A 22,415-nucleotide genomic window follows, 5' to 3' on the forward strand; every position below is an offset into this window, starting at 1 on the left:
ACCAGGTAGTGTGATGCCGCCAGCTTTGTTCTTTTTCCTCAAGATTGCTTAGGCTATTCTGGGTCTTTCATGAATTGATAAAGATTTGTGAATTACTTTTTAATTCTGTAAAAAATATAATTGGAATTTTTATAAGGATTGCATTAAATCTGTAGATCACTTTGGGTAGTATGGACATTTTCACAATATTAATTCTTTCCATTCATGAGCACGGTGTCTCATGAATTTTTTAGTGTCTTCAATTTATTTTATTAATGTTTTAGAGTTTTTAGTGTATGGATCTTTTACCTCTTTGAATAAATTTATTTATGTGTATTTTATTCTTTTTGATGCTGTGGTAAATGAAATTTTAATCTCAATCCTTGTCTACACATCTATTCAACTTTAACAGCTTTAGAGTTTAAACCAAATACGTGTGGCAATGCAGGAGAGGAAAGAAACCCAAAGTTTTATAGTTTTGTAAAATACAGGTGCTCAATTTAGCATCCTGTGTTATGCCCTGGGGTGCCAAGCATCGCATTAAGCTCAAACTTAAGCTCAGATTGACTTATTCTTTGGGATAACCCAAAGATAGAGGAACTCATCATCCTTATTTTACATAGGCAGAGATGGCCAGGCGCTGTGACTCACCCTGTAATCCCAGCACTTTGGGAAGCCGAGGCAGGTGGATCATGAGGTCAGGAGCCCGAGACCAGCCTGACCAACATGGTGAAACCCCGTCTCTACTAAAAATACAAAAATTAGCTGGGTGTGGTGGCGGGCGCGTGTAATCCCAGCTACTCAGGAGGCTGAGGCAGGAGAATTGCTTGAACCCGGGAGGTGGAGGTTGTGGTGAGCCGAGATTGCACCACTGCACTCCAGCCTGGGTGACAGAGCAAGACTCCATCTCAAAAAAAAAAAAAAAAAAAAAGTACATAGGCGGAGATGGCTGCATAGAGAGAATAAATAAATATACACAATCGCATGGCTGGTACATGGTAAACTGGAACTTCTAGTACAGGCCATCTGACCCTGAACTTCAAATGGGCTGGGAAGCTTCTTACCTTCTGTCTATGAAAAGACCAGAGATGCCAGAGAATGCCATTTGAGTCTTTGGTGAATAGGTGAAAACTTCAAATATTGATAATCAGGAGGAAGGAGTTAGATTGACCCACTACTTGATGGAACACTTATTTTTAACTTAATGCAGCCATGAAAGTGCTTATAACACTTGGGGCTTTAAGTTCATCAATTAAGGCAGAATTTCTATATAGTATGCTTTTCCCTATAAAATGTATTTAGCCATTGATAACTCTATGTAGTTCTGTGGAATATGTGCTTATTAGACAGATCAGGTGTTTCGGCTAAGAATAAGATGAGTAACTGTGTTTTAAAAATATATATTTATAAATAATTTTAATCTTGAATATTTAATAACCATTAACTACTGTTTGAATACGTCTTTGTCCAAAACATATATATGTCTATATACATTCTAGATAATATATAATATGTATATATATAATACATACATACATATATAATCATATGTAATATAACTGTACCTTCTGTGGCTATTATGAGCTTCATTGCTCGCAAGCTCCAGGATATGGGGCATCAGGTACTCAAGAGTGGCAGCAGGAAACATAAGCATGGAAGAGTCCAGGCACTGGGCACAGGAGATCTCCCACAAGAGGTGTCCAAATATACCAAGGGGAACCGTACGTAGTTCTGCTCTTGCTAAGAGTGTAAAGTCTGTTTTTTTGTTGTTGTTGTTGAGATGGAGTTTCACTCTGTCACCCAGGCTGGAGTGCAGTGGCATGATCTCAGCTCACTGCAACTTCTGCCTCCCGGGTTCAAGCAATTCTCCTCGCTCAGCCTCCTGAGTAGGTGGGATGATAGGCATGCGCCACCACGCCCAGCTAATTTTTGTATTTTTAGTAGAGACGGGGTTTCACTATGTTGGTCAGGCTGGTCTTGAACTCCTGACCTCTTAATCCACCCACCTCATCTGCACAAAGTCCTGGGATTACAGGCATGAGCCACTGTGCCCGGCCTGAAGTCTGCTTTTTATGTCTATCAGAGCTTCAAAGTCTTCTTTTCCTAGACATGGGCTTTTGTGAATGGTATAGTTTAGATGTAGTTTGTCCCTGAAAAAGACTCATGTTGAAATTTGATCCCCTATGTGGCAGTGTTGGGAGGGGGGCCTCATGTGAGATTTTAGGTCATAAATAGATTAATGCTCTCCTGCAGAGATGAGTTCTCACTCTCAAAGTTTCCAGCAAGAATAGATTTTTAAAAATCTGGCTTTCTCAAGTTTATCTCCCTTTTGCTTCACCTCTTGCTATATAATCTTTTTGCACATACCTGCTTCCCTTCTGCTTTCTACCATGAGTGGAAGTAACATGAGGTGTTGGGGTGATCAGACCCAACACCAGGTCGTGGGGGTGACGAAGTCCGTTGGAGTCAAAGGACTGAGAAAAAGACAGTTTGAGAGAGAAAGTGGGACCAGGGGGCCATCACGAGTGTGGAGACTGTGAAGGCCCCAAGCTCTGGGAGCCCATGCTATTTATTGGTGCCAAACAAACAGGTGATGAGGATTTGGGGGTTGAAAGGAAACAGTGTATCAAGTGAATGAGAAACATATGGCTGCTTGAGATAACGAGAGTGCTAGAAGCAAGGAGCCAGCAAGTCTAGCAGACATGCAAGCCCTGCCTCAGCTTCTCTCCCAACACTCAGCTTTTCTCCCAACATGAGGCTTTCACCAAAAGCCAAACAGATGCCAGCTCCATTCCTCTTGTGCTTCCCAGCCTGAAGAACCATGAGCTAAATAAACCTCTTTATACATTACCCAGTCTCAGGTTCTCCTATATCACAAAAAGGACTAAACCAGTGAGCTTTGCATTAATCAACCTGATTTTCAACCTGGCCTTGGCCTCTCAAGACCCCAGTGCTCAGTCACACCCACTATGTCCATGTGGGCCTGTCCTTCACTCATCTTTGTAATACTCTAGACTTTTGAATGCCACTCATGTCAACTTGGCCATGAACTGGCCTAGGCCTAGAAATGCCCATGATTAGAATCTAGTCACTCTAATGACTGAACCCTCTTTTTAAAGAAACTCTAGCTATTCAATTGACTTTGTTGTAGAAAAAAATGTGTCATCAATAAAATACTTTGCCCTGTCTAGAGGACACCACTACAGATTATCACACTCTAGCCAGTACTCTCTTTGAGTGCTTTTACAACTTTTTCTAAGGTTTAGGTCACTGAAAGACATTCACAATGTCTTGTCCAGTAGAGTGTAAATTGTTTCTTCTCTCACAATACAATAATACGAGTCTCCCTCCATTTATATATTTATTTAAATATTTCCAATTTATATTGCTTTTGCTGTATATTTGAATTTTTTTTGTACTGGTTATCATGTATGCTGATTCCTCAGAAGTTAAATAAACATTTTAATATGTGTGCCTATCTTTTGTTGTTATTTAGATATCTAGGTGACTACAGCTTCAGTAGAAATTTGTTGACTTCGTTTTGATTTTATTTGCAATTTTCCTTTCGGCTTATTTAGTGTTTCTGTGTTTTTCTGCTGCATTTACAGCATATTATCTAGTCTTTATCACTGGCAACAGTGGCTTGAAGTTTGTTTATAAAATTATGTTTATTGAGATGAAATTCACATAACATCAAATTCAATATCTTAATTATTTTCAGGTTTACAGTTCAGTGTCTTTTTGTGTATTCACAATGCTTTACAATCATTAGCACTAGGTAATTTTTGAACAGTGTAATTACCCAAAAAAGAAACCCCACACCCATCAAAAGCCACTTTCTATTTTCCCCACCGGCCTCTGGCAACCACTAACCCGCTTTCTGTTTCCAAGGATTTGCCTATTTTGGGCATTTGATACAAATGGATTCATAAAGTATATGATGCTTTTTGTATAGCTTTTTTCTTTTCTTTTCTTTTGAGATGGATTCTCACACTATCTTCTGGGCTGGAGTGCAATGGCACGATCTCGGCTAACTGCAACCTCTGCTTCCTGGGTTCAAGTGATTCTGCTGCCTCAACCTCCTGAGTATCTGGAATTACAGGCACACACCACAACACCTGGCTAATTTTTTGTATTTTTAGTAAAGACGGGGTTTCACTATGTTGGCCAGACTGGTCTCAAACTCCTGACCTCATGATCCACCTGCCTTAGCCTCCCAAAGTGCTGGGATTACAGGCGTGAGCCACCGCACCTGGCCTTGTATAGTTTTTTTCATCAAGCATAATGTCTTTAATATCCATCCATGTTGTGTCCCATATTAGTACATCATTCCTTTTTCTGGCTGAATACTATTGCCTTGTATACTACATCACATTTGTCAATCTAGTCCTCCATGGATAGGCATTTACACTGGTTTCACTTTTTGGCTATAACAAATGTTTCTATGGACATGCATATACAAGTTTTTGTGTGGACCTATTTTGATTTCAGTTGAGTATATACTCAGAAGTGGAATTGCTAAGCCATGTGGTAACTCTGTGTTAACCTCAGGAGGAACTGCCAAAATGTTTTCCAAAACTGCTGCCTAATTTTGCCATTCCACCAGCACTGTATGAAGGTTTCAATTTCCCCACATCTTCACCCACACTGATCTGTCCTCTGAAATATACCTGTACCAGCAGGTGTGAGGTGATATATCACTGTGGTTTTGACTTGCATCTTTCTAATGAACAAAGATGTTGTGCATCTTTTCATGTGCTCATTGGCCACTTGTACAGAATAAAAATCTTGGAGCCACTGGTCCAGATTATGAGTCTCAAACACATGTTACGAACAGATTTTTGATGCTGCACAAGAAATAGCACTCAGCAAGGCAAATTTACTTCTATAGAAGGGTTCACCTCGTAAATTAAGCAATGGCAAGGGCGCACAGAACAAAGGAAGCAGGAGTTTTTATTATCTCTGACACAGCTTCTACTTCTGTATCTTTCCCCTATTGGTTAGGGTTGGACCGCACAGTCTAAACCAGTCCCGATTGGCTAAATACTTAAAACTTTTTAGATAAGGTAGTCACGTAAGGGAAGTAAGAGAGAAAGAAGGCGGGTCACTTATGGGGAAACTACAAAAGTAACCTATTCCCTAATAAGGAAAGGAATGTGGACTGGGACTGGGGTTGTAGGAAGTTCACGCATGTCTAGGCATAGTTAGATAAGTTGGGGCACAGGTGAGGTAAGGAATATTTGGAATTATAGAATAAAGAATGGGGAAAATGGATAAGGTATTTGAAGAGTGAACCTAACTGTATCTAACACACAAAACACCATGGAATGATGATAATTCAGTACATAGTAATCTTATAATTCTGTTATTATCTAATGAAGAACAGCATCCCAAATCTTTTTTGTGTTGTTTTTGTTGTTCGATTTGCCAATCACATGCATAGAAAAAAATGGTATTTACCAGTGTATTTACAATCCAGGACAAGATGTTGGAGGGCCCAATGTATTTGGGAGCTTGTAGTTTCAACTGTGCCCACCTGATGTGGCTGATAATAATAGTTAGAAGATACTCAAGAGGGCCGGGCATGGTGGCTCATGCCCAGAATCCCAGAACTTTGGGAGGCCAAGGCAGGTGGATCACCTGAGGTCAAGAGTTTGAGACCAGCCTGGCCAACATGTTGAAACCCCGTCTGTACTAAAAATACAAAAATTAGCTGGGCGTGGTGTCAAGCACCTATAATCCCAGCTACTTGAGAGGCTGAGGCAGGAGAATCACTTGAACCCAGGAGGTGGAGGTGGCAGTGAGCCAAGATCATGACATTGCACTCCAGCCTGGTGACAAGAGCAAAACTCTGTCTCAAAAAAGAAAAAAAAGAAGATACCTAAGAGGCAGGTGGTGGCAATACACACACCTCTGCCCACTCTGTGAACATAGAAAACACATTTGAATGCAATGTCACTGAGGAAATGCTTTAAATTAAAAACAGTCATTGTCTGTAAGGCTGCTTTGGATAATATGACCGAGATGTTGGCTATAGCCAGGTGCTTGAGAATCAAATCTGTGGACTTTAGTATCCACCTGGTGTAACGAAATGCAAAAAAAAAAAAAACCAAACAAACAAATAAACAAAATTCCCCAATAATCAGACTGTTGTCTGAGAAAAGATCATTCCTATTACCAAATCCCTGGAGGCCATTCATTATTTTCCAGTTACTAATATTTTCATTCAGAGTGAGAATATTCTGCATAGACACATAAGGTCTGTTTTATGGTGGCAACTAAAATGGACTATTTTTCCACATACTATTGTTTTCAACTTATAACTTTGTTTTTAAACTCCACTTTTCTTTCACTAAGATTTTTTTGATTCTCTCTCTCTTTCTACACACACACACACACACACACACACACACAGATATAAACACATACACACACATATAGATATTTACACATTATTTTCATTTAGCCTGTGCTTTTAAAAATAAATTTCAGTGGTTGACACCTAGTTCACATGTTGTCAGGCATTTTCTATTTTAGTAATTTAATTTTCACCTATATTATTTCATTGAAATACATTTGAATTAAATATGAAACTTTAATATGAAAGATTCCATTGGCTTTTCTTGCAAAAAACTTTAATATAAAAGATGCCATTGGCTTTTTTATTATTATAAATATATGTAGTGTGATAACACTGTATACATAGCACTATAAAACTACTGTATTAGTGTGTTACATATAATTTTTATAACTCTATGAAGTGCTTTATTATTCCCATTTTACAGGTGAAGAGAGCTTAGATACAAATAGAATAAATAACATTTCTAAAATCACCTCCTTGTAGGAGGCAGTTTCAGGAGTTGAAGATGTTTTTAACAATAGTTAATATATGCTGTCTCAACATCAGATATATATTTTTTAAAAATCTACATAGGCCAGGCACAGTGGCTCACTCCTGTAATCCCAGCAATTTGGGAGGCTGAGGTGGGTTGATCACGAGGTCAGGAGATCGAGAGTGGTGAAACCCCGTCTCTGTTAAAAATACAAAAACTAGCTGAGCATGGTGGCACGTGCCTGTAATCCCAGCTACTCAGGAGGCTGAGGCAGGAGAATTGCTTGAACCCAGGAGGTGGAAGCTGCAGTGAGCCAAGCCACTGCACTCCAGCCTGGGTGACAGAGCGAGACTTTGTCTAAAAAAATAAATAAATAAATAACGACACATATTTTAAAAACATGTACCTCTTGTTAGCTTTTTAAAGAATGTTTGTACATATTTATTTAAAAATGCATATGAAAATTTTACATTTAAATATGATTGCATAATTTATTGGCAAATATCTATAATGATTCAAAGATTCAAGTAGAATATAAATGTTCTGATTTAGCATCATCTTAAAATAAGTGGAATTTGTTGAATGCAAAAATGGTTTCCTCATGGAATTAGAAGACTTTTTAACTTAACCAAGAAGGAGCACATAATGGAATGGCAATTGAGAAAAGGGACTTGAAACATGAGTAGAAGGTCAAATATTGCATAGAAAAACTAAATTACCATAAGTATATAGAGAAAATCAGTATTTGTGAATGCAAAAATATCAAATAAAATTATGTCAGGGAGGTGAAAGATCTCTGCAATGAGAATCACAAAACACTGCTGATAGGGATCAGAGAAAGCACAAAGTAATGGAAAACCATTCCATGCTCATGAATAAAAAGAATCAATATTGTTAAAATGGCTATACTGTCCAAAACAATTTACAGATTCAATGCTATTCCTATCAAACTACCAATAGTATTTTCCCCAGAATTTTTTCTAATATTTATATAAAAACAACAAAGAGTCTAAATAGCCAAAGTAATCTTAAGCAAAAAGAACGAAGCTAGAGGCACCACACTTCCCAACTTCAAACTATACTACAAAGCTGCAGTAATCTAAATAACATGGTACTGGTAAAAAATCAGACATATAGACCAGTGGACCAGGTTAGAGAACCCAGATATAAAGCCACCCACCTATAACTATCTGATCTTTGACAAAGTTGACAATAACAACCAAGGGGAAAGAACTTCTTATTCAATAAATGGTGCTGAGATAATGGACTAGCCATATGCAGAAGTTTGAAACTGGACCTCTATCTCTCTCCATGTACAAAATCCACCTAACATTTGCTACAGACTTAAATATAAAATCTAAAACTGTAAAATCCCTAGGAGAAAACCTAGGAAATACTATTCTGCCAATAGGTCTTGGCAAAGATTTCACGATGATGACACCCAAAGCAACTGCAACAAATAGAGAAACTGACAAGTAGGACCTAATTAAACTTAAGAGCTTCTACACAGTGAAAGAAACTATCAATAGAGTAAACAGACAACCTACATAATGAAAGAAAATATTTGCAAACTATGCATCTGAAAAAGGTCTAATATCCAGAATCTATAAAGAAACATAAATGGCCAGGTGCAGTGGCTCACACCTGTAATCCCCGCACTTTGGGAGGCCTAAGTGGGTGAATCACGTGGTCAGGAGTTTCAGACCAGCCTGACCAATATGGTGAAACCCCCGTCTTTACTAAAAATACAAAAAATTAGCTGGGCCTGGTGGTGGGCACCTGTAATTCCAGCTACTCGGGAGGCTGAGGCAGGAAAATCACTTGAACCCAGGAGGTGGAGGTTGCAGTGAGCCAAGATTGAACAACTGCACTCCAGCCCACTCCAGCCCGGGCGACAGTGAGAGACTTCATCTCAAAACAAACAAACAAACAAACCATAAACAAATCAACAAGCGAAATATAAACAACCCCATTAAAGAATGAACAAAGGACATAAACAGACACTTCTCAAAAGAAGACATATGCACAGCCAAAGAGCATATTTAAAAAATGGTCAACGTCACTAATTATTAGAGAAAGGCAAATAAAAACCACAATGTGACACCATCTCAGTCCAGTCAGAGTGTCTATTATTAAAAAGCCAAAAAACAATAAATATTGATGAGGTTGCAGGGAAAAGGGAGTGTAAGTTAGTTCAGCCACTGTGGAAAGAGCAATGTGAAGATTTCTCAAATAACTTTAAATCATCTGACCCAGCCATCCTGTTACCACATATATACCCAAAGGGATATAAATCATTCTACTATAAAGACACGTGCACACATATGTTCATTGTAGCACTTTTGACAGTAGCAATGATATGTAATCAATCTAGGTGCCCATTAACAGTGGACTGAATTAGAAAAATGTGGCATATGTACACCATGGAATACAAGTCAGCCATAAAACAGAATAAAATTACGTCCTTTGCAGCAACATGGATACAGCTGGAGGCCATTAATATAAGCAAATTAATGCAGGAACAGAAAACAAAATACTGGATATTCTCACTTATAAATGGAAGCTACACAACGAGTACACACGAACTCAAAGAGAAAAACAATAAACAGCAGGGTCTGCTTGAGAATAGAGGGTGAGGGGGGTGAGGATCAAAAATCTACCTTTCTGCCAGGTATGGTGGCTCACGCCTGTAATCCCAGCACTTTGGGAGGCTGAGGCGGGTGGATCACCTGAGGTCAGGAGCTCAAGACCAGCCTGGCCACCATGGTGAAACCTCGTCTCTACTAAAAATACAAAAATTAGCTGGGTGTGGTGGCATGCACCTGTAATCCCAGCTACTCATGAGGCTGTGGCTGAAGAATCGCTTGAACCCAGAAGGCAGATGTTGCAGTGAGCAGAGATTGTGCCACTGCCCTCCAGCATGGGCAACAAGAGCGAAACTCTTGTCTCAAAAGAAAAAAATTAAAAAAAAACTACCTATCAAGTACCATGCTCACTACTTGCCTGATGAAATAATGTGTACACCAAACCCCAGTGACATGCAATTTACCCATTTCACAAACCTGCACATGCGCCCTTGATCCTAAAATAGAAGTTGGAAGAAAAACCCACAAATAAAAAAGATTCAGAACTAGAGTAGATAAAACAACAATGATTTTAAAAAGAGCTTTTTTGCCCTTCTAAAATATGGGTGTTAATAGATGTTCTGGATCTTCAGCCTCATCTTGGACCATGAAGAATGGAAAACAAATGTCAGGGGTGATGGAGCAGAGACATCCCTAAAGGCTTCCTGAGGCTGCCATGCTGGCCCAGGTATGCCTAACTCCTGAGTTTTTATGTGAAAAAAATATAACTTACGTGTTTTAAGTCAGTATAGATAGATCTCTATTATTCATAGCTGAATAAAGTAAAATGAGCTGTTGAACTTGAAAAAAAAATAGAGATATTTTGAAAAATTTGCTCCAGTTACAATTTACCAATAACAATTACAGCTCTTTGCCGGGCATGGTGGCTCCCTCCTGAAGCAGGTGGATCACCTGAGAGTTTAAGCCCAGCCTGACCAACGTGGCAAAACACTGTCTCTACTAAAAACACAAAAATTATCTGGGTGTGGTGGTGCACGCCTGTAAACCCAGCTACTTGGGAGGTGGAGTCAGGAGAATTTCTTGAACCTGGGAGGTGGAGATTGCAGTGAGCCAAGATCCTGCTACTGCACTCCAGCCTGGGCGTCAGAGTGGGACTCCATCTCAAAACAAAAACAAAAACAAACAAACAAGAAAAACAATGACAGCCCTCTAGTGTCTCCAGAGAAATGAAGGAGTTTGGAACAGTCTCCTCTCTTCTATGATTTCTGAAGAAAGAAAGAGGCTCACATGGAGGGCTCAGAAAATGCTGAGTCTGATACATGAAGGACAGACAGTGAAGTCAGTGTGTCTTTCTGGATTCTGTGCTTCCTTAAAATGTTCTGCTAAAAAGGAAATTTTCTGTTAATCTTCAAATTCCTGAGCCAAACTAGTCTTTAATATTTAATAGAGAAATGTGCTGGGCATAGTGGCTCACGCCTGTAATCCCAGCACTATGGAGGCTGAGGCGGGCAGATCACCTAAGGTCAGGAGTTTGAGACCAGGCTGACCAAAATGGAGAAACCGCGTCTCTACTAAAAACACAAAATTAGTCGGGCGTGGTGGCACATGCCTGTAATCCCAGCTACTCGGGAGGCTGAGGCAGGAGAATTGCTTGAACCCGGGAGGCCAAGGTTGCAGTGAGCCGAGGTCACATCATTGCACTCCAGCCTGGGCAACAAGAGTGAAACTCCATCTCAAAAAAAAAAAAAAAAAAAAGAACAACCCCACTACAATAAAGGAGAAAACAACAGCGAATTTCATCACCTGTAACATTGTAACATTCTAGCTACCCAGAAGTCCTCAGTCTGTCCATGTGACAACTTCACTGCTAGAACAACCTGCATTCACAAAAACCAGTGCACTAAATTGAATTACAACAAAGGACCCTCACAGAGTCCACTTTACTCCCCTGCTACCTCTACCAGAGCAGGTGGTATTATCCATGGCTGAGAAACCTGAAGACAGATCACATCACAGGACTCTTTGCAGACAATCCCCAGTAACAGCCCAGAGCCCAGTAGCTCCACTGGATGGTTAAACCCAGAAGAGCAATAACAAGCACTGCAGTCTGACTCTCAAGAAGCCCCATCCCAAGAGAAAAGGGGAGACCATCACATCAAGGGATCACCCCATGAAACAAAAGAATCTGAACAGCAGCCTAGAGCCTCAGGTCTTACGTCTGACATAGACTACCCAAATGAGAAGGAACCAAAACAAAATTCTGGTGATATAAAAAAGCAAGAATTTTTTTAACACCTTCAAAAGACCACACTAGCTCACTAGCAGTGGATCCAAACCAAGAAGAAATCCCTGAATTGCCAGAGAAAGAATTCATAAATTCCATTATTAAGCTACTTAAAGAGACGCCACAGAAAGGTGAATATTAACTTAATGAAAAAATTTTAAAATACGGGATATGGATGAAAAAAGTCTCCAGAGAAATAGACAGCATAAATAAAAAACAATCACAACTTCCGGAAATGAAAGGCACACTTAAAGAAATGCAAAATATAGTGGAAAATTACAATAGAACCAAACAAGTGAAAGAAAGAACTTCAGACCCCAAAGAGAAGGCTTTTGAATATTCCAATCTAACAAAGACAAACAAAACAGAATTTAAAAATGAGCTAAGTCTCCAAGAAGCTTAGAATTATGTTAAACAATAAAATCTAACAATAATTGGTGTTCCCAAAGAAGAAGAGAAATCTAAAAGTTTGGAAAATTTATTTGAGGGAATAATTGAGAAAAACTTTCCTGGCCTTGCTAGAGATCTAGACACCCAAATACAAGAAGTCCAAAGAACACCAAGGAAATTCATCACAAGAAGATAATCACCTAGGCACACAGTCATCAAGTTATCTGAAGTCAATATGAAGGAAAGATTTTTAAGAGTTGTGAGACAAAAGCATCTGGTAAACTATAAAGAAAAACATATCAGATTAACAGCAGATTTTTCAGCAGAAACCCTAAAAACTAGAAAGAATTGGGGTCCTAAGTTTAGCCTCCTTAAACAGAACAAGTATCAGCCAAAAATTTTGTATCCAGTGAAACTAAACTTCATAAATGAAGGAAAGATAGTCTTTTTCAGACAAACAAATGCTTAGAGAATTCACCACTACCAAGCCACTACTATAAGAACTGCTATAAGGAGTTCTAAATCTTGAAACAAAACCTCAAAATACAATGAAATAGAACCTCCTTAAGGCATAAATCTCACAAGGCCTATAAAACAATAATACAATAAAGAAGGTATTCAGGCAACGACTAGCACAATGAATAGAATAGTCCTTCACACCTCAATACTAACGGTGAATGTAAATGGCCTAAATGATCCAGTTAAAACATACAGAATAGCAAAATGGATAAGAAGACAAATATCTGTTGTCTTCAAGAGACTCACCCAACACTTAATGACTCACTTAAGGTAAAGGGTTGGAAAAAGATATTCCATGCAAATGTACCCCAAAAGAAAGCAGTAGTAGCCATTCTTACATCAGACAAAAAAGACTTTAAAGCAAAAACAGTTTTTAAAAAAAGATAAAGAGGGACAAAAAAAAAAACTAGTCCAACAGGAAAATATCACAATTCTAAATATATATGCACCTAACACTGGAGCTCCTAAATTTATAAAACAATTATCACTCGACCTAAGAAATTAGATAGATGGTAATACAACAACACAACTATAATGGGTGACTTCAATACTCTACTGACAACACTAGACAAGTCATCAAGACAGAAAGTCAACAATAACAAAAAAAAATGGACTTAAGCTATACCCTAGAACAAATGGGCTTGACAAATATTTACAGAATATTCTACCCAACAACTGCAGAATATACATTTTATTCTTCAGCACATGGAACATTCTTCAAGATAGACATATGATAGGCCACAAAACAAGTCTCAATAAATTTAAGACAGCAGCCATAAAAAATGATGAGTTCATGTCCTTTGTAGGGACATGGATGAAATTGGAAATCATCATTCTCAGTAAACTATCGCAAGAACAAAAAACCAAACACCGCATATTCTCACTCACAGGTAGGAATTGAACAATGAGAACACATGGACACAGGAAAGGGAACATCACACTCTGGGGACTGTTGTGGGATGGGGGGTGGGGGGAGGGATAGCTTTAGGAGATATACCTAATGCTAAATGACGAGTTAATGGGTGCAGCATACGAGCATGGCACATGTATACATATGTAACTAACCTGCACATTGTGCACATGTACCCTAAAACTTAAAGTATAATAATAACAAAATAAAAAAAAGAAAAAATAAATAAATAAATAAATAAATAAATTTAAGACAATCAAAATCATATCAACTACTCTCTAAGACTACAGTGGAATAAAATTGAAATTCAACTCCAAATGAACCATCAAAACCATGCAAATACATGAAAATTAAATAAATTTTGGAAATTAAATAAATACATGGATATTAAATAAAACATTAAACTTAAGTTCAACCCATTTTTGAATGATTGCTGGATGAAATCAAGACAGAAATTTAAAAATTCTTTGAACTAAAGATAATAATGACACAACCTATCAAAACATCTGGGATACAGCAAAAGCAGTGCTAAAAGGAAAGTTCATAGCATCAAGTGCCTACATCAAAAAGTCTGAAAGAGCATAAGTAGACAAGCTAAAATAACACCTCAAGGACCTAGAGAAACAAGAACAAGCCAAACCCAAACCTAGCAGAAGAAAAGAAAGACCAGAACTAAATAAAACTAAAACAAACAAAAAAAATTCAAAAGATGAATGAAATGAAAAGCTAGCTCTTAGAAAAGATAAACAAAATTGTTAAGCCATTAACAGAATTAACCAAGAAAAGAAGAGAGAAGATATAAATAAGCTCCATTAGAAATGAAAGAGAAAATATTGCAACTGATGCCACAGAAATACAAAAGATCACATTCAGGTCTACTGTGAACATCTTTACATGCAGAAAGTAGAAAATCTAAAGGAGATGAATAAATTCCTGGTAATGTACAGTCCTCCTAGATAAAAAAACAACAACTCTGAACAGACTAATAACAAGCCAGATTGAATAATAATTTAACAAATTGCCAACCAAAAATAAAAGTTCAGAACCAGATGGATTCACAGCTGAATTCTATCAGACATTCAAAGAAAAATTGGTGGGGGTGGGGCCCAGATGGCTGACTAGAAGCAGCATCCCATAGAAAAGAACCATAATAGCATGTAAATCTTGCACCAGCACCTGAGGTATCCAGGTTCTCTCATCAGAACTGACTAGGTGGCTGGCATGACCCATGGAGAAGAAGGAAAAGCAATGTGGTGTGGCAACCCACCTGACAGCCAAATGGGGCTGGAGAGCCCCCAACCCCAGCCAAGGGAGGCGGTGAGTGAGCAGGCTACCCAGTCTGGGAAACTGTGCTTTCTCCATGGAACTGTGAAACCCATGGACCAGAAGATTCAATTTGTGAACCCACGCCACTGGAGCCTAAGGTTCCAACTGTTGGAAACAAGAGCTTGGAGTCACAAAGAAAACAAGCACTCAAACAAGGAATTTCTCAGCAAGGCAAATTTACTTCTGTAGAGAGGTGCTGCTCATGTCTCTGGCTGTTGTGAGAGCACACCATACAAGAGAGGGAAGGGGTTTGTATCCCTAATGCAGTCTCTACTTCTGCATCCTCTCCTCATTGGCTGGAGTCAGACCACACACTCTAACTCGATTGGCTATTCTAAATCAAGACTGGCAGGAAGGTTGTTTACAGAGTAGGTAACTAGGAGTGAGGAGGAATTCTTCCAAATAAAGAAGAGATGTGGGTTACAGATTGGGACTGGTTGGAAGAGTTGTTTACAGAGCAGGTAGCTAGGAGCAGGAAGGTACAAGGAAGTTGATTTCCAGAACAAAGAACAAGGAAGCTATCCTTTGAAGAGGAACTTATTATGCCTGACACAACCCTGGAGCTGAGTAGATTCTCAACAGCCTCTCAGCTAGAATCTGCTTAAGCCTGCCAAGTTCCCAGGGGAGGGGTGACCAACACCACAGCTGTGGCTGGCTGCTGTCTAAGCTGTTTGAGCTCCTTGGGGGAGGGACAGCAGCCAGCACGGGGACTCACAACTGCCTAACAGGCTAAGATCCTTGGGTGGGGAAAGGCAGCAGCCATATCTATAGCTCCTGACCACACTTTTCCCCTGCTAGAGCCAGGGAGGCTGGACAGCTTGGTCTCAAGAGGTGTTCCCCACAGCCCAACACACCGGCTGTGGCTGACTGCAGCCAGAATGTCTCTTCAGGCCTGACCCTCACCCATCCCTCCTCACTGGGCAGGGCCTCCCTCCAAGAACTCCAACAGCTCCAGCCAGGGGCTCAGGGACAGAACTGTGATCTCCCTGGGCCTGAACCCCTAGCGGGAGAGGTGGTTGCAGTTTCTGTGGACCAGCAGACTTAGCCTTTCTTTCTGCTAGTTCTGTGGAATTCAGGCAGCCCAGATGACTGGGTTTCCACCCATCAAAACACCCCCCTCCACCAAGGAACAGTCAAAGTGCTTCATTAAATGGGTTCTGCTCCCCGTGCCACCCAACTGGGTGAGACCCTTCAATAGGGGTTGTCGGACACCCTATACAGGAGCAATCATACTGGATTCAGGTTGGTGCCTCTTGACATCAGTGATCTCAGAGGAAGGAGCAGGCACCATTCTTTGCTGTTCTCCAACCTCCTTGAGTGACATCTCCAGGTACAGGAGTAAACCAGATGAATAGAGCCTGAAGTGACCCCCCAGCAAACTGCAGCAGCCCTACAGAAGAGGGACCTGACTATTGAAAGAAAAACAAACAAACAAACAGGAAGAAACAACAACAGCATCAACAACAAAAGCGTACCCACAAAAACCCCATCCAAGGCTGGGCATAGTGGCTCACATCTGTAATCCCAATACTTTGGGAGGCTGAGGCAGGCAGATTGCTTGAGGTCAGGAGCTCGAGACCACCCTGCCAATGTAGCGAAACCCAGTCTCTCCTAAAAAATACAAAACTTAAACAGGTGTGGTGGTGCATGCCTGTAGTCCCAGCTATTCGAGAGCCTGAGACATGAGAATCATTTGAACCTGGGAGGCAGAGGTTGCATTGACCCAAGACTGTGCCACTGCACTCCATACTGGGTGACAGAGTGAGACTCTGTCTCAAAACAAACAAACAAAAAAACTCATCCAAGGGTCAGCTGCCTCAAAATGTTGAAATTAGACAAACTCATGAAGATGAGAAAGAATCACCAAAACCCTCTGAAAGGCCTTATCTCCTAGAGATGATCACAATGTCTCTTCAGCAAATTCACAGAACTGGACAGAGGATGAGATGGATGAAGTGACAGAAGTAGGCTTCAGAAGATGTGTGATAACACACTCCGCTGAGCTAAAGGAACATGTTCTAACCCAATGCAAAGAAGCTAAGGAACTTGATAAAAGGTGAGAGGAAATGCTAAGTAGAATAACCAGTTTAGAGAGGAACATAAATGACCTGATGGAGCTGAAAAACACAGCATGAGAACTTCATGAAGCATACAAAAGTATCAATAGCCTAATTGACAGGCAGAAGAAAGGCTATCAGAGTTTGAAGACCACCTTGCCAAAATGAGGCAAGCAGACAAGATTAAAGAAAAAAGAATAAAAAGGAACAAATAAGGCCTCTGAGAAATATGGTGTTCTGGGCAGGAAATGCATGAGGGGAGAAGAAAACACACACACAATACCATTAAGGGTAAACAAGCTTTATCCCACCTAAAAGGCAATGCAGATATAATAAGCAAATTGATATCATAAGCAAATTGCAATGGGAAAGGGAGAAGGGAAAATATGTAAATAAATGTACAAAACCAAACTATGTGGTCCATAGTTCACCCTATTTAAAAATATGTAGTCCTCATAATATTCCATTTAACAGCCTGTTGTAACTCTTTGGTGTTAAGCCCAAGCACATCTAATATATGCTGGTGCCACCACCAGAAACGTGTCCCATCACACCACCATAAGTGGTGTCTCTCTCTGATGTTGGAAGAGACAGTGCCAAGGACATTTTCGCTGGAGGTAGGAGGTGGGGTCATAAAAGGAATAGCAAAGTACCTTGTTCAAAAGGATCAGATATAGTTACACTCATCAGACTATGGGGGATTCGTCACCACACCAGGAAGCAACAGCCTGGGCTCCAGAGTCGGCCACCCATCTGTGCACAAACAAGGAGAGGTCTCTTGAAGCCTTGGTGCAGTCTTGGACCCTGTCTCTTTTTGTAACAAGTTGTTTGGCATGAGGCCCAGTGATGAGGGCCCTTTGCGACTGGGCTCAGGGAACACAAAAAGGTCAAGTTGTTTTTGTGATTGTCTATTGTTTTTCAATAACTAACGTATAGGAATAGATTGAAATAGAGATTCTTTCTGAAATAGCGCTGGATGAACGCCTCAAGGGGTTCACACAACCTGTGCCAGGACTTGGTGACCATTGTTTGTGTCCATGTTCAATTTAGTTCAAATTTAATATTTAACATGTCCTCTACATTCGGCCTCAATTGGATACTCAATTGTAGGAAAATACCCTTACAGATACAAGGGGAAGGCATAATTGATATAGATTACAGATACAGGGTAAGGACAAGAGAATTAAAAGCACAATTAATAAAAACCACACCCACCATGGCTTTGCAAGGAGAGTCATATTGTGAGAACTGCCAGAGATATACACACAACATTCAGTATGCAGTAAGGTGCAAACCCCTCCTTGGGTTGCGGTAAGCATATCTAATGCCATTTGATTTTGCAACACAACAGTACTCAGATGAGCAAATTCATCTGATAACAACATAAATTCAGTGCTACTATCATTAAGAGCTTTTTCTACATGTAAGGTAAATCTTTTAATTTGTTGCTGAAGCAAGATTGTACGGGCGGCAGGGGAGAATACTGTGATAGGGTACCACCACCAGGGAGTCCAGTGCATTGGTAACCAGCGATGTTTGTAAGCATCTAGATTACTGGGGAGGGGAATATTAACCTGGATGGTGAATGTAATTAATGGCCACCCCCAAGTGCATCTCCCCATCCAATGCAGGGACAGGTATCACCACCCATAGGATCTGCATACCCAGAGGGCCCCCCAGGGGACAGCAATGGATCTACTGTAATCATAGTGTACTAATCTCTTATTAAAATAGGAAAGAGATTGTGGTTCATTGGGGGCAATGTTGTTGATTTGGAGTATGTGTTGACAAATGTCTGAAGAAACCCCAAATAAACATTAGAGGAGCCATTTAAGGTCTCCAGACAGAGTGGGAACTGTATGGAATCCGGCCACCAGCACAGCAGGTTTTCAGTATATTCCATTCCAGGATTATTGGGCAGGATACCAAGGCTTTTGATGCAAGGGGAGGGTGGAGTTCATCTTTTGTCTGACTTGGCAAAGATAGATTGCTTAGTGTGGTGAAAGGAAGCCCAGGTTGGATTGCAAGTGTTGTTGTTGTTGTGGCCCTACTGGTAACAATATAGCCATTCAGAAATGTTGTCAGGGACAATTCTGCAAGGTAGCACATTCCAGGCGGCCTCCGGCAACTCAACATATAGCCAACATTGACTGCGGTTGGCTTCAGTTGCAGCAGTGGCTACCAAGTTGATGAATTTATTCTTGGCTTCAGACACAAAGACACAGGTGCTGACGAGTAGTAGATAGATTATTTCTTGTAATAACAAAAACAGAGGGGAACAAGATATTGTTTTTCATCTTTAGGAAATTGTACTATGCCTTCATTTCCTGCTTTCATAGCTACAAAGTCACCAGCCTTAGGGTCAGGATCTGATGGACGCTGTACCCATATTTCAGCTCCAGGATTTAAGCTACCTGTACCAGGGGATCCGAATCCCCCAGTTCTGTATGTAGCCTCTGTTGGGGCAGAGATTTCCTCAGGGGTTGTTGACAAGGTACCACTAACAATTGAGCAACCCACATTTGTGGTTTTAGAGCAAAAGAATCTGGAGTGTATAAAATGACCTTTAACTCTCCCTGGTAATCGCTATCAATTATAGCACCATACATTATAATGCCTCTCATTGCAAGGCTTGAACACGTTGTAATCCATTCATCCGCATTCATGTTTACCGTTATGGTGGAAATTTTGGCCTGCTGTTCTTCCTGCTGATTAAGTAGTCTGTCAAGAGAAAGCAGAGACTCATGAGCATCAATATGGAAAACAGGGCCGGGTGCGGTGGCTCACGCCTGTAATCCCAGCATTTTGGGAGGCCCAGGTAGGTGGATCACGAGGTCAGGAGATCGAGACCATCCTGGCCAACATGGTGAAACCCCGTCTCTACTAAAAGTACAAAAATTAGCTGGGCATGGTGGTGCGTGCCTGTAATTCCAGCTACTTGGGTGACTGAGGCAGGAGAATTGCTTGAACCCCGGAGGCAGAGGTTGCAGTGAGCGAGATTGTGCCACTGCACTCCAGAATGGTGACAGAGCTAGACTCCATCTCAAAAAAAAAAACAAAAAACAAAACAAAACAAAACAAAAAACCAGTGATAATGGTAGTGTGTGCTAGGATTGAGATATCTCCCCAGTATTGTTTTCCCCAAACCTCTTTATTCCCAATTAACCATTTGCTTTGTTGCCTGGGGCATCCAGGTAGTAAGACCATTTGGTATTGACCAAGAGTTGGTATAGAAGTGAAAAATCCCTCTGGTCTCCTTCTGAATAGCTCAGGGGAACCGCTACTAGTTCAGCTAACTGGCTGCTCCCACCCCTTCCTTCATCAGAAATGCTTTTGTTTTTAATAGGATTATAAGCCACAGCCTTCCAGCATTGATTCCCACCAATGTATTTGGTGGATGCATCAGTAAACCAAGCATGTTTCTGATCCTCTGGGCTTAGTTCTTTAAAGGATTTGCCCCATTGGGTGGGGGAGGTTTCCTTCCCTATCTGCAGGACTTGCTCGGTGGTTTCCTGAGCTGGGAGATTTTGTACATCCTTATGTAAAAGTGATACTCACTTTGGTTTTGACTTAGCCTGGTCTTGTATGTACCATGTCCATTTTATGATGCTACTTTCTTGGACATGTCCTATCTGATGGGTTTTGGGGGAACTCAAGTCCCAAGTCATAATAGGAATTTCGGGCCTCATAAAGACATCATGGTTGAAGCAGAGGTGTTCCATTTCCAGCAAAGCCCAATAGCAAGCTAACAATTGCTTCTCGAAAGGGGTATAAGCTTTTCTGGCCTCTGGCAGTTTCTGGGTCCAAAACCTGAAAGGTACCCTCTTCCCATCTTGTTTCTAAGGCTCCAATTAGCCTGTTGATCTAGGACAGTTACTTGCAGTTCTCCTGGCCCATCCTGTATGGACCATAGATCCAGGGCCAGTTGCACCGCTTGTTTATCTTGTTCAGAAGCCATGCTGTCTGTCTCTCCCCAATGAAAGTCATAGTGTTTTCTAGTGGCTGCATGCAGAGGTTGTAAAATATTACTCAAGTGAGGAATATGATGTCTCCAGAATCCAGAGATGTCAATAAATGTCTGGGCCTCCTTTTTAGTGGTAGGGGTTGCAAATTCTAGTATTTTAGCCCCTTTACCTTTTGTAAGATGGACTATATCTCTGCATTCCATAGGATGCCAAGGTATTTTACAGTTTGTGCAGGTCCTTGAATTTTGCTAAGCTTAATTTCCCATCCTTGAGATAGGAGCTGGGTTTTTACCTGCTCCAAGCCCCAGCAAAGTAGTTCTTCAGTTTTAACCTGACCGAGTCATTCTGACAGCTGCTTTTTTTCAGCAATAGGGTGATAGCTTTGAGCCTGATCAGTCAAGATATAGGCCTGGCATTGGGCCAGGGCCAGTCTGGAAATCACACTGGCATTTTCCTTTTCCAACTTACATTTCTCTTATAGCAACCAGCCCGTATCTTGACACATTAACTTATAAGCAGTAAGCAAACACCATCCACTCTGGGAGATCCCTCAGCATCTCCTTTGCTGACTGGAATCTCCTGCAGCACTTCCCGCACAGTCAAAGGTTTAAATTGCACTAATTTAGATTCTCAGTTCTCACAAAGGCCAGTTCCCCTTGACCATTCAGTTGCCAAGGGGGAAAACTGGGGGAGTTCCCATCCTGAGACATGGGAAGTCCCTGAGCCTCCAGCCCCATCCTTCTGGCCAAAAAGCGGCATACTTTTGTTTCCAAATACTGTTTGTGACACCAAAAATGTTCTGTGCAGGAAACCCGCGAGGGGAGAAGAAAAGACCCACACACAATACTTTTAAGGGTAAGAAGTTTTATACCACGTAAATGGCAATGCAGATATAATAAACAAATAATATAATAAGCAAATCAATATAATAAGCAGATTGCAGACATAATAAGCAAATTGCAATGGGAAGAGGAGAATGGAAAAGGTTTACACTCACCAGACTGTATATATTTACACCACCAGACTGGGAAGAAACAACCTGGGCTCCAGAGTCGGCCACTCATCCGCGCACAGATGAGGAGAGGTCTCATGAAGCTTTGGCGCTATCTGGGACCCTAGCTCTTTTGTAATGAGTTTTTTGGCATGAGGCTTAGTCATGAGGGCCTTTTACGAATGGGCTCAAGGAACGCAAAAAGGTCAACTTGTTTTTGTGCTTGACTATTGTTTTTCAATAATGAATGTATAGGAATAGATTGAATTAGAGATTTCTCTGAAACAGCGCGGGATGAATGCCTCAAGGGGCTCACACAACCTGTTCCAGGACTTGGTGACCATTGTTTGTGTCCAGATTCAATTAAGTTCAAATTTAATATTTAACTTTACCTCCATACCAGACTATGGAGGATTCACCACCAGAGTGGGCAGTAACAGGCTGGGCTCCAGAGTTGGCCACCCATCTGTGAACACATGAAGAGGAAAAAAAAAAAAAAGTGAAAAACATTATCCCACAGTTTGCAAAATATATTACATTTAAACAGTTGTAAATACATGAACATAACATCTCAGT

At 40.6% G+C, this 22,415-nt stretch overlaps 1 protein-coding gene and 2 pseudogenes across 1 annotated transcript in view; 1 reads left to right on the plus strand and 2 right to left on the minus strand.

The window, feature by feature from the left end:
- BNIP3P12 (BCL2 interacting protein 3 pseudogene 12) overlaps positions 1-22,415 on the plus strand; it is a 65,535-nt pseudogene that overhangs the window by 29,733 nt on the left and 13,387 nt on the right.
- VN1R77P (vomeronasal 1 receptor 77 pseudogene) lies at positions 5,856-6,175 on the minus strand (annotated as a pseudogene).
- The window catches only part of ZNF682 (zinc finger protein 682), a 44,375-nt gene continuing 43,655 nt past the window's right edge, over positions 21,696-22,415 (minus strand). Inside the window, exon 5 of the transcript XR_007067033.1 lies at positions 21,696-22,305. The gene's annotated coding sequence lies outside the window, so the exon portion shown is untranslated. The remainder of the gene's footprint in view (positions 22,306-22,415) is intronic.

Source organism: Homo sapiens, chromosome 19 (assembly GCF_000001405.40).
Source record: "Homo sapiens chromosome 19, GRCh38.p14 Primary Assembly".
Taxonomy (NCBI): Eukaryota; Metazoa; Chordata; class Mammalia; order Primates; family Hominidae; genus Homo; species Homo sapiens.